General features: G+C 48.1%; 1 protein-coding gene and 1 long non-coding RNA gene across 4 annotated transcripts; one reads left to right on the top strand and one right to left on the bottom strand.

Moving 5' to 3' along the window:
• SERPINA4 (serpin family A member 4) lies at nucleotides 254-8718 on the bottom strand. 3 transcript variants are annotated; one of them, NM_001289032.2, is made up of 5 exons: nucleotides 8351-8718; nucleotides 6029-6694; nucleotides 2917-3190; nucleotides 1872-2031; nucleotides 254-765 (listed from the first exon to the last, which is right to left on the bottom strand). In NM_001289032.2, exons 1-5 carry the CDS (start codon nucleotides 8442-8444, stop codon nucleotides 565-567), a joined length of 1395 nt encoding a protein of 464 aa, NP_001275961.1. In that variant the 5' UTR covers nucleotides 8445-8718; the 3' UTR covers nucleotides 254-564. The 3 variants fall into 3 exon arrangements, with proteins under 3 accessions (NP_001275961.1, NP_001275962.1, NP_006206.2); NM_001289033.2 differs by having other exon boundaries at nucleotides 8506-8718; NM_006215.4 differs by having other exon boundaries at nucleotides 8666-8718.
• On the top strand, nucleotides 8749-11988 carry LOC124903410 (uncharacterized). Its single transcript, XR_007064389.1, has 2 exons — nucleotides 8749-9132; nucleotides 9439-11988. It is a non-coding gene; the product is annotated as an uncharacterized LOC124903410 (long non-coding RNA).

The following is a 12784-nucleotide window of genomic DNA, read 5'->3' as shown; positions in this document are numbered from 1 at the left end:
GTGGTGTCTGCCTTTCCGTGGCTTTCTCAGCCCCTGCTCTGGAGCAAGGTACCAGCCCTGCCTGAGGCAGCTGACTGCCCACACCCAGTCCCCTTTCCATAAACCTGGATAACCTACTGGAACGGGACTTGGAGCTCTCATACCTTGTGTCTGGGACCAGGTCTGCCAGGGGAGTCTGGGGCAAACCCAGGAGGGCCAGGCAGAGGACGCATTTACTGAGTGTCTACCACGTGCGAGACACTGAACCAGGGTCTTCATGGCATCGTGTTGTTTACTCGGTACAACCAGCCTGTTGTGAAAAGGGCCCGCCCCCTTTCCAGAGGCAGAAACTTGCTCCAAGAGGTCGGATGCTCTGCCAGAGGCTGCACAGCACCAGGGTGTGGAATGTCCAGGCCCTGCCCATCTCAGTGCCCCTCCCCGCTCCCCACCGGCCAGCACCTGCTGTCCTGGACTCCTGGACCTTCGGTGTCATCCTTGTCCCCAACTCTAAACACAGAGCTACTCACTCCCAGCCCTCCCCTGCCACATCCTCCTGCTTGGAACAGATGAGCAGCCCTGGGAGGGCTATGGTTTCGTGGGGTCGACGACCTTGCCCAGAAAGAGGACACTCTGGGTGCTGGTGGAAAAGATCACCACAAGGAAGGGCCGGTTGAATCGCAGGATGTGGCGATTGGTCTGGGCAGAGAAGAATTTGATCGCGAAGCTGGTGGCTGCTGCAGCCTCGGTGCCAGCCTCATCCACGTCCAAGGTGGCCTTGTGGAAACTCTGGGAGGAAAATCACAAGCATTATCTCCAAGCCAGCAAGAGAGGGGGCCTGGACAAGACTGCGAGAGCCAGAAATTGCTAGGGAATAATATTGCACATAACAGCCTGCAAGGCCATTTCTTGGGGATAACACAGCAAGAATTTCATTTGGGCGGATTTTTGAGCTAGAGACCTCCTGCCACACACAATCATGGTAGCTCTCATTAAATGAGCACTTGCTCTGTGCCCGGGGCTTTGCATGCATCTTATTTGATCTTCATGGCCATCCTAAGAGGTCAGCAGTATGATGTCCATTTTAAAAGTGAGGAAAATAAATTCAGAAACTAGTACTCTTTCAATAACCATAAGAGGAAGAACCGGAATTCAAGCTTGAACCCAAGGCTCTACCCCCTCGTGCACTTTTCTTATCAGAAGTCTTGAGTCTCTTTCTCTTATCTGCAAAGTCTCCCTAATACAGACGCACCCAATGCAGCCTCACCTGTGTCTCTCCTCTCTGTTTCCTCTATTTTTTCTTTTTTTTTTTTTTTGAGATGGAGTCTCACTCACTTTGTCACCCAGGCTGGAGTGCAGTGGCCTGATCTCTGGTCACATTGCAACCTCTGCCTCCCAGGCTCAAGCAATTCTCCTACCTCAGCCTCCTGAATAGCTGGGATTACAGGTGCCCACCACCCGCCACCACACCATTCTAATTTTTGTATTTTTAGTAGAGTTGGAGTTTCACCATTTTGGCCAAGCTGGTCTCAAACTCCTGACCTCAAGTGATCTGCCTGCCTTGGCCTCCCAAAATGCTGAGATTACAGGCATGAGTTACCATGCCCGGCCCCTCCTCCATTTTCTATCATTGCGTTTATCTCTCTATGAAGACGCTGTGTCCCTGACTAGACTGGGAGAGCTCTCTGAGGGCAGGGGCTGGTTCAACACTATATCTCCAGCACCTAGCACCACGTCCAGGGCTGGTTGATTGGTGGATGCTGATGCCTGTAGATGACTGAACACACTCAGGCTCTGAGACTCCATGTGGCAGCTTGGGAGCCCCATCGCCTGGCAGCTCCCATGGGCACTGCCCTACCGAGTTCTCTAGGGATTGCTGACTGTTGACGACTTACTTTGGATGCCTCCAGTTTTTGCTGTTTGGTGATGCCGGATAAGTCAGCCCACTTGGAGAACAGATCCGTGAAGCCCAGCCTGGGCAAAATCTGATCTAATACATAGGAGCCAGAAATGGAGAACTTGGGAAGATGCAACTCTAGCTTCTTGTAAAAATTCCTGAAAGGGGCATTGAGTTAGAACATTAGATTAATGAACAAGCCAGGATCCCTGCTGGGCAGAGCCCTCCTTGGTGGCCCTCTCTAGCTGGCTCTATTCCATCTGAGTTCTGTCCCCACAAACAGCTTCGGCTCAGACCACCTCCCACAAATGGATGTTGAAAGGCCAGGTTCCTTTGTACCCAGGCCCTGCTGTCTGTGGGATCTCCCGTCCTTGGGAACCCCTCTTCAGAGGTTGCTTCCTGTGGGTGTTCAGGTGCCCAGGGAGACAGATGTAAGCCTCGCCAGGTGGCAGTTTTGCCTTTGCCTCTGTTATAGCCCTGTGGGTTTTATTCTTTTTGAACCAGCTAATTTCTTTGGATTGGATTCTCTCCATCATGAAAGTTGTGTGAATTTTCTATCCACATGTGCCCTTGGGCTAGGATCCTTTTCTTATATATGGTTGAAGACTTTTTCCAATCATAACCAGAGTGATGGGAAGCCTTCCTATTAATTCCTTGGGTAGGTGGATGGAGTTTTTTTAAGTCCCACTATGGCAGCTTAGTCAACCTTCTGGGCCAGAAGGGCTACCTCTTCATTGCACAGAGGTAACCCCCCAGAGAGGAAGAGTCACTTGACCCAAGTCTTGTGCAGTGGAAGAGCTATGTCTAGAACCCAGGACTCTGAACTCCTACTGTGGTTCTTTTTTGCCTAAAGAGGGGGAAGTCATATTTTAAATATAACAGGAGAGTTCATCATTTAAAGGAAGCCCATGGAAGTTCTCAGAGCAAGTGAGAATTCTCTCATAATTTGGTGTTCACTCTCTATTTTGGGGCACTGTCTTTCATTAGAAAGTTACATTTGATGGATAGTACTGTAGATTCAGCCCCCATAGCACACTGATTACCTCTTCCGCAACAAGTTGTTCCACCTCATTAGCATCTCTGGAGTCAGAACCTCTTCAATCTCCCTCATTTTGCCTTGGTTAGGGAGAATGAAAAACACGGTTGCGTCTCCTTTGTAATCCATCCGTAGCACCGAGCAGGGCAAGTATCTGTCATGAAGATACCAGTGATGCTCCTGGTCCTGCAGCATCATGGGCACCCGGACTGTTGTGTTCTCATCAACATAGAAGTCTTTGGGAGTGGTCCTTGAGGAAATGAATGGTTTCTCCCACAGGGCTGAAGGGAAGATGAAAAGAAGGTACAGGACATCTGCAGGCCACAGAGCTAGTCCTCCAGCCAGGGAATGCCATCTGGTGTTCTGAGCTACAGAAACAGTCGCTCCAGATCCTGCCCTATGAGCCCATCAAGATGTCCCATTTTGACCATTCAAAACCTGACATGCCTGGGGAATGGATCCTTTAGGCCTCATTTAAATTTTAAAATGAGAGATAGCAGAGGATGTTCGTTTTCTAATATGTGAGTAGGATTGATAGAGAAGAAACAAGGGGTGCTGGAAAGAGAGTTTCATTGTTAGGTGAGCATCCTTGAGAAGGAGAGAGGAGATGGCAGAGTGTGAGCAGAGGGGTCAGCCTTCCATAAGAGGTGGGTCACTACTGCCATGATGAGAGGAGGGCATCTGAGCTTGTGGGTTCAAATGCAGGGAGGCGAGTAGATTTGGAGGTGAGAAGATTTGGAGGTGAGTAGATTTGGAGGTGAGAAGATGAGAGATTTCCTGTTTAACTGATTCTGTTTTCTCAATGAAAAGTGAGACAAGATTGTTAAGTGAAAGTCATGAGTGGGGAGGACATTTGAGAAGGACGAATCTGTTATTATAGTTGTTTTGGAGAGTGGAGATATGTAGGTAGGATTGCTGGACAGTGTAGAGATATCAATGAAAATTTGCATTCACAAATATCAAGTGAGACCATCAGCCCCGTTGGATGTTTTTCTTCAACCACATTCAGCTGCTGGGTGCAGATGTAGACTAGTTAGACCTTTAGGTTTAAGCAGGTTTGCAGCTTTGGAGGGTAAGTATGATAGAGGGAGGGAAAACCAAGGAAGTTAAGAGTTCAGAGTGTTTGCAAGGAAGTGACCACAATGATGGCCATGGAATCGCTGCAGTGTGAGGAGGGAAGCAAATACAGGAGGCGATGTGCAGTGAGGTGGTGGCAGGTAGGGTGAATGGACTAAGGCCTCCATGCCAGGAATTTTAGTCCAGGGAATAGCAAGGGATCTGGGATTCTAACCAATGTCTTCCTGACAGTGAAACCCATACTACTGTTTCTCTTCCTTCCTTAGTTAATTTTTTTTTTAAAGTTTAAAAGTTTTGTTATTTCAAAGCAAAACTTTTTTTTGGAGATAGAGTCTCATTCTGTCACCCAGACCAGAGTGTGGTGGCAAAATCTCAGCAACCTCCACTTCCTGGGTTCAAGCGATTCTCCTGCCTCAGCCTCCCAAGTGGCTGGGATTACAGGCATGTGCCATGAAGCCTGGCTAATTTTTTTTTTTTTTTTTGTATTTTTAGTAGAGACAGGGTTTTGCCATGTTGGCCGGGCTGGTCTTGAACTTCTGATTTCAATATCCACCTGCCTTGGCCTCCCAAAGTGCTGGAATTACAGGTGTGAGCCACTATGCCCAGCCTCAAAACAAAGCTTTTTTAAAAAAACTTTTCAATGGTTCATGAAAATTCCACATGCAAATTACATGGGATGACTAATTTGGCTGAATCATTAGGCTGGGAGTTGCTCCCTAGAATTTTGTTCCCTGTAGATTTTGGGTTCAAGCTGGTTAGAACTGTGAGATTTCGAAGTAGATTGCCCTCTGAAGGCCCTGGTAGTCAGATATGATGATGGTCAGACTCAGCAGTGCTCTGTGTGCTCCAGTTTGCCCTGCTTGTCTCCAAGCTCATTTCCCAAGTCTAACCCCACTAAACAACAGCAGCCCCAGGCTACCACAGAAACTATGCAGTGATGCTCCCCTCCATGGCAGCACTCTGATGGCTGGTTGAGCCTGGCATATAGATTCCCCTCTAAGCTCTGACTTGTCCGCTTACATTGGCAACTTTCTCTCTGTCCTTCCAACTCTTCTTTCCTCTAGACCTTCACTTTCCCAGTCGCAATTGTGTGGGGCCTAATTCCTATAATGATCTCCTTACCATTGACTTGAGGTGGCTCTCCTTCTCTGATGAAACCCTGGCTAATACACACCGTACAAAGTTGTTTGCACACTGCAAAATCAACTGTGTGGACATATATGTGTGTGAATGGAAGGTGAAGAAAAGATGCTAAAACATTAACATTTGTTGCCTCTGAGTGGTAGGACTAGAGATTATGTCTACTTTCTCCTTTATGCTTTTACATATTTTTAAAGCTTCAAAATGAGCATTGTTATCATTAGATGAATTATAGTTGCTATTTATTGAGTACATAAAATGGTCAGGGGTCAACAAACCAAAAGGTTTATAGAGATATTAACTATTTTAGGCATTGCAGATCATTCAATCTCTGCAGTAATGAATCAACCTGCCATTGTAGCATGAAGTCAGCCACAGACAATACATAAATGAATGGGCCTGGCTGTGTGCCAATAAAACTTTATTTACAAAACCAGTGGCTGAACACATTTGGCCCATGGGCTGTAGTTTGCCCATCTCTTTAGACCCTTTTCTAAGGAGTATATACATGGGTTAATCATTTGATCCTCAAAGCCAACCTTTGAATTAGAGACTTGTCTTATCCCTGCTTTGAGCAAACAAGCTGACCTGTTTGCACTGTTGGTAGAGGCTGAGCTCAGATATGAATCCAGCAATTCAACTAATGATCACTGGCTATAATGCATTTTATACATTATTTTTATGAAGAAAATATGTCTAAAGATAGGAAGGAATGGAAACCTCAATACTACAGAGTCTTCAACATACAACATTCTCACATTGCATTCCCTGAGGGTTGCTCAACCCTATCAGACACAACGTTTTTACTTACATTTTTGTAAAAATATATTTAACCAGTCAACAAATTAGTGGGTTGGAGGCGGTGGTGTGGATTTAGCATATACCAATGATCTGACTCTCACCTTTGAAGTAAATGTAATTCACCAGCACCATCAAGACGTCCTTCTTGAGCTCACTGACCAAATCCACAATCTTCCCTCGAGTTTCCTTCTTGACGTGGTCGTTGATAAGCTGGATTGTGCCCACAGTGTCGTAGAAGTTGGTGTGGAAGAGTTTAGCCTCATAGACGGCCATGGTGTCATTCAGGAATTTTGCAAGGAACTTCAGGTTGTGGCTCAGGAACAGAGCACTGCCCACGCGTGTTTCCAGCCCATGGCCGGGGAGGTTGAGAGTGTGCAGGAGGTGCTGGAAGCCCCTATGGACATCGGACTCAGACAGCTCGGTGAGGTTGAAGCCCAGGCCCTCAAGGATCTGGCTGCGGCTGTGTGAGCAGGCCCCCAGGGAAAGCATGGCGTAGGCCGCCGAGATGCTCAGCGGGGAGAAAAAGATGTTCTTCCCCGGGGTCTCCGAAGCGATCAGGTAGTAGAAGCGGAAGGCAAAGTCAGCATTGGCAGGGGCTATCTTGAGGCTGGGGGAGCCCTCACCTGTCTCCAGAATCTGCTGGTGGGAGCTGTTACTGCAACTCTCACCATCATGCTCAACGTGCAGCTGGCCATGAGAAAGGGCCAGTAGTCCAACCAGCAGGAGGAGCAGGTAGTCGATAAGATGCATCCTCTGCACTCTCAGGCCTATGGGAGGGAAGAGAATGCCCAGGAAATTCCCCCAGAAGAACACCTGGCCCTACTGAGAAGGCTGGCAGTGGGCCAGCACCCGGAGATCGTGAGTGACACCCTCAACTCCTGCAGATGGGCTTGTGAAAGGCAATGTAACACCCACCACCTTCCACATGTATGGTGACAGCAACACTATTGGATGGCAATGTTTTAGACTTACAAGGCACACTCCTTGTGTCCATCATGTCATTGTGTTTCCCACCTGTGTGAGCTCTGCACAGCACTAGACTCCATTCTCACCCAACAGAGCAGGAAATGAAGACTCCCAAAGTGACTCACCCAAGTCACCTACCTAGCACATATCCCAGCCAGAACCCACATCCCCAGACTCAGGTGCTGCTTCTCCCACACTTGTCTTTCAGATGAGTTGATTTCATTAGTGCAGTGATTTTGCATGGAGGATGGCTATCCTCAGAGTTTATTTTAGGGTCTGTTCCACAAACATCTGTGGAGTGCTTTATATGGTTTACAAACCACTTTCAGCCATTTAGTTTGACCCTCCCACCCCTGTAGAGGTCAGTAGAACTGGTCTTTGTATTGTTACCCCGTACAGACAAGGACATGGATGTTTAATAAGTGACCTGCCCAAAGTTGTGGGGATAGAATTGGTACCCGTTTCATAATGAACATCTGTCCAAGAAAGGATACTCCAGTTTCTCCCCCAAATCTGCTCCTGCCCCATCAAATGGTCCCACCAGTATCCGGTTGTCAGGCCAAAAAGCTTCTAGGCTTCTATCCACCCAAAATCCATTTAATCCACTTCCATGACCTGCAGGGTTGGGTTTTTTTTGTTTGTTTGGTTGTTTGTTTGTTTGTTTGAGACAGGGTCTCACTCTGTCACCCAAGCTGGAGTGCAGTGGTGTAATCATGGCTCACTGCAGCCTTGACTTCCTGAGCTCAGGTGATCCTCCCACTTCACCCTTCCAAGTAGCTGGAACTACAGGCATGCACCCTTCCAAGTAGCTGGAACTACAGGCATGCACAGCCACACCCAGCTAATTTTTTATAGAGTTGGGGTCTCACCATGCTGCCCAAGCTGGTCTCCAACTCCTAGACTCTCCTGTAGGTTCTTCAGCCTCTCGCCCCCTCTTTTGCTATGATCCTCAACCAGGGCTCAGAAAACTTTTTCTGCAAAGCGCCAGATAGTAATATCTGTGGTTTTGCAGACCACACAGTCTCTGCTGCCACTACCCAACTCTGCTGTGGCAGCTGGAAACAGCCACAGACCGGACATGCATGAAGAGGCGTGGCTGTGTTTCAGTGAAACTTCACTTACGGACACTGAAATGTGAATTTCATATTATTTTCCTGTGTCACAAAATGTTGTTCTTCTATTGATTTTTCATAGCTTTATATATTTATCTTTTATACTTATCACTTATATTTTATATTTATATTTTACATCTTGCATTCTTAGCTCATGGGCGGTGGGCCGGATTTGACCTACAAGCTGTGGTTTGTTGACCCCTGACCTAGACCCTTGCAGAAAGCTTCCTAGTCTTTCTGCTCTCTGTTCTCCACTCAGCAGTTGGAGGGATCATTTAGAAACATACATAGGACCGCATCACTCACAGACACACCTCCCCTCCGGCATGAGCTCCCCAAGATCACCTGGATTGGCAGCCAGAAGACCTTGGCCCTCAGTCAGTGCCGCCCTGTACCAGCTGTGTGTCCCTGGGGGAGGCTTTTCTGGGTCTCCGGGCATAGTCACCCACCAGTGCCCATGGACCCTAAGTCGGGGCCTTTCTAGCCTGAGTATTTCTCACCTCTAGCAAGAGTGACAAAGTGTCCCAGCTTGCCTGGGACTTTCCTGGTTTTAGCACTGAAAATATATCCCAGAAGAATTATCAGTCTTGGGCAAAGTGGAACAGTTGGTCACCCTCCCTCTAGAGTCTCTCGTCTCCATTGTCTCAGGGGGTTACTCACGGCACAGTCTGTCCTGGAGTGGACCCCCTGGGTGGCTGTCTCAGCTCTGTCTTATCAAGCCCAGGAGGACTGGTCAAACCAGGCCTTCTCAGTACCACCCACTCTCTCCCGACCAGGTAATTATTAACAAACAGGCTACGGGTGCAGCATTGCCTCAACAAGGAAAACTCACCAGAAGTTGGTTCACCCCCTCCCAAGAAGACACCCCACTTCCCACCTGGGGAACCCCAAGAGGGTTCACTTCTTCATGTTTGTGCAGTGCATGGAGGTTCGCCTGGCCCTTGCTGCTCCCCGAGGGCCCGGGGAACCACTTGGAAAATCTGGTCTCCAACCAGCCCCTCACTAGCTGTGTGAAGTTGAGCTCATTTACTCCCTCTCTGAGCTTCAGTCGCCCACCTCCCTCCTACAACATGAGGGGCTGGATCAGACAGGGGGCAGCAAGCTCCAGCGCCGCCTTCCTAGATCAGGTAAGGAAGACTCCATGGTGCCACGGTGGGGAATGGTGGGGATGTGTGGAAGTGAGAGAGCCAGCTCTCTACAGGCCAGGCAAGACCCACCTGTGGGCAGGGCCTCACAGCAGGGCCTCCAGTTTGCAATCCTGGACTCTGTGATTTCTGAGGATAGAGTCCACTGAGATCTCATAGGTCAGACCATAAGGAGAGTACATCCCAGGGCAAGGGTGGCATGGGGTGGGACCAGGAACCTCCTTGGGCCAGGTATTCAATTTGCATTTTTCTTCTTTAACCATGGAATTGAACTTGTTCTCTCCCCAGTAATCAGTGAACCCCTGCACCCTTGCACCCTTGCACCCTCCTGGGGCAGCCATTTCTCAAGCTATGTGGGGAAGGACTGCAGGGAGCAATGTGGCCCTGGGTGCCCTGACTGAGATGACCTTGACCATTCAGGCATCCTCTAGCAGACTTTCTGGATGTGTTTCCAAGTCGTTGGGCCTTAAGGTAAGTGAAATATACACCACTGAGCAGCACAGTGGGCTGGGAGCCCTGAGCGATGTAGACATGGGGATGGCAGAGCAGGCACAAGCACAGCCCTGGAGCCAGCTGGCCTGAGGTCCAAAATGGGTCAACACCAGGACAAGAGAGGAAGCTAGCAGGTCAGGCAAAGTGAGAGCTACTGTCTCAGTGGATTCTCGCTTTCCCTCACTCATCTCTCTCTTTCCCTTGCCTATACACTCTAGGTATACTAAGCTTGGCCCATTTTACACATGAGAAAATGTAAGCCCGGAGACATTGTTAGCTCAGATTCCAGAGTCAGGGTCTGCTCCGTGGCCACTGAACATGAAGCCCATATTCCTTCCCAGCATCTGCTGCTTCTCCACTTGGACAGACTTTTCCTGCCACCGGAATAGCAGCTGCTGCTTTGCTTACTGCTGTACCACGCGCTAGAGCAGAATGTGGTGCAGGGGACATGCTCCATGGATGTTGACTGAGTAAGTCAATGAGTGAAAGATGGCCATGGATTTTTGCTCTGATGAATGTGAAAATACATTATTCCCCTTACAATGGTCTACAGTCTGGGGTTTTGCTTTTTTAGTCTTGCTTCTTCAGTGAGTTTGGGGCTGATGCCACAGATTCCAGGGGTTAGCGTATGCTTGGCTGCAGCCCAGGGGATGGACAGCTTGTCCCTGCCATGAGCACACAGTCACTGCCCTTTAGTTTCTGGCGCCTGCCCCTGGTATGTTCTGGACAGAGGCTGGGCTTTGGCGTCAGACAAGCTCCCTCACTGCTGAGATTTGTGACTTTGGGCAAGTCACTCCACCTCTCTGAACCTCAGTTTTTCACGTGTCAAATGAGAAGCAATAATCACTAATCAGAAAACTGATATTAAGGGCAGGGGGGCAGCACTCTTAAATGTTCTGAGCCCTGTATCAGTCTTAATGGGTGCTTCCTTCTTCCCTTCCCATCCCAGCAGTGGTGGACAGCCAGACTGTCTGGGTTGAATCTAGACTCCACCACTACTTAAGTTACTTAACTCTGCCTCAGTGTCTTCATCTGTAAACTGTGGGTAATAATTGCCCCTAAATCTCAGGGTTGTCAACAAGATCAGTAAACTGACATCTGTAAAGTCCTAGAATAGCATCTGGCCATAGTGAGTGCAGTGGAAGCGTGAGTTAGTCTGTCGTATTATTTCAGATGGGTTGTACATTACTCATTTATCCCCAAAGGTGTACACATGGCTGAAACCATGTTGTTAAACTTGTTTTGAGTTGTGGTCCTGATTATCTCAAGAAAGCTTTGAACTCTCCCTGAAATATGCACAGATGTATGTTTTACAATTTAGGGAGATTCTTGAATCCCATGAAGTCCATGCAGTCCCCGTGGGCTACAGCAGTTATTTTTTCCTGCAAAGAGCAGGCCCATATAAAGGAAAGGTGGAAAGAACTCTCAGGCATGTAGTGGGAGCTACTGACTTGGACCCTGCAGGAGAAGGAGGGAATGACGGCAATTGGTGTGGCTGCAGGCTGGGCTCAGTTGCTAACTCCAGCCTCAGTCCTGCCTGCTTCTTGTCTTAAGGTCTCTGGGAGGGCTTCAGGATTGTTGAACCCTTGCCTGTTACAATTTGAAGGCCAAGTGTTTCTTGTTAATCATCTGTAAGGTCCCAGAGGACAATGAATTGTGCCACAGTCATATCTGGGCACATTAGAACAGGCCTGGCCTATAGAAGATGCTTAACAGAAGTCAGTCATTGAATGAATGAATGAATGAATGAATGAATGAATGAAGAGATGCCAAAGGCCCTGCTCAGAGGTGCTGCTCAGATGTTCCAGTGGCAAGCTCCTAAAATCTGCAACACTCTCGGCAAGTACTGATTTAAGGAAGCAGGGATAAGTTGCCTGACCAGGAAGGCCAGGGTGGATGTGGGGAAGCAGAGGGCTTGACTGCCTCTCTGCCCCTAGGAAATACCACTGGGCCAGATGGGGCAGCTGCTGTGACACCACTGATGTCCCCGGCAGGGAGCCGCTTTTTCCAGCATCCCAGAAACTGCCTGAACTGTGCTGTAGGCATGAATCCCACTCCCTGACACCCTCCTCTGCTCCACTGCATCCTAAATTGCAACCCAGCCCTTTCTCAATGGCTGTCTTGGTCTCCCATTCCAGCACAGGCTCCACTTATGCTGCCCTCCTGCTAACTGCTCCCAATCCCCTTCCCATTCCCTGGATTCCAAATGGAGCCAGGAAATTAATCTGCCCTTAAAAAGGCTGTCCTTGTTTTGAATTTGATTGGCAATGCAATAATGGTCATCATGAAAAATATGGGAAAGTAAAAAAAACCTGGAGAAGAAAATAAAATCATTTGCAAACCTGGTGTTCAGCTTATGACTAGATATAATTGGTTTCCTTCCAGTCTTGTAAGAAATGGGTATGTGCTCATACAGAACAGCAACAACAAAGCTCTTCCAGTCTTGGTTTGGATGGAGGTAGGAAGACTATAGATGCTACAGTCCAAAGAGAGCTCCATGCAAAAATTCCAGAGTAGGTGGTCAAGAACAGGTCTCCTGATTCTTAAATGCTTTACTCATGTGAAAGAGGACTGAAAGGTGTTGAGAGGTGGAGACTGAGAAGGAATTACAAAGAGGAAGGAGAGAAGTGCTTCCCCCATGTTATCTTAAGAGTGCAGAGCTTCAACAAAACACTCATGCAACACAATATGTATCCCTGGAGTTAGAGGGGCTCAGGGCTTGATGCTTGCCTGGAAATGCTAAAAGGTGTAGGTGGGCTGTTTAGCCTCTCTAGGAACTCTACGTCTAATTATCTGTCCCTCTCTTAAACTCATCATTTTCTATCTGGCTTTTAGATACATAGTTACACAGGATACACATACATCCTACTTATGTATAGCTGGGAAACAAGCCACCCCAAATTTAGCGGCATAAAACAATGGCAGTTGTTTGTCATTATTATTGCTATCTCTACAGTTCTGGGGGTTGACTGGGCTCAGCTGGGTGGTTTTTGCTCAGGGTCTCTTATGAGGTTGCAGTTGGACAGGAACTGAGACTAGAGTCATCTTCAAAGTGGATATGCTTTCAGACTACCACATATGATGTCCCTGCTGGACTATGGGTTTTTAGGAAGCAAGCACAGTGTTTTATTCCTTTTTCTTC

Source organism: Homo sapiens, chromosome 14 (genome assembly GCF_000001405.40).
Source record: "Homo sapiens chromosome 14, GRCh38.p14 Primary Assembly".
NCBI classification, from domain to species: Eukaryota; Metazoa; Chordata; class Mammalia; order Primates; family Hominidae; genus Homo; species Homo sapiens.
Note: the sequence above shows the minus strand (reverse complement) of the source record. Positions and strands in the feature narration are given on the sequence as shown.

Coding starts and splice junctions, on each gene's coding strand:
- SERPINA4 (NM_001289032.2), bottom strand. CDS start 8,444: ATGCCCGGAGACCCAGAAAAGCCTCCCCCAGGGACACACAGCTGGTAC. Junction 3,191..6,028: donor GAATTACATTTACTTCAAAG/GTGAGAGTCAGA, acceptor TCTTCCCTTCAG/CCCTGTGGGAGAAACCATTC. Junction 2,032..2,916: donor AACAACTTGTTGCGGAAGAG/GTAATCAGTGTG, acceptor TGCCCCTTTCAG/GAATTTTTACAAGAAGCTAG.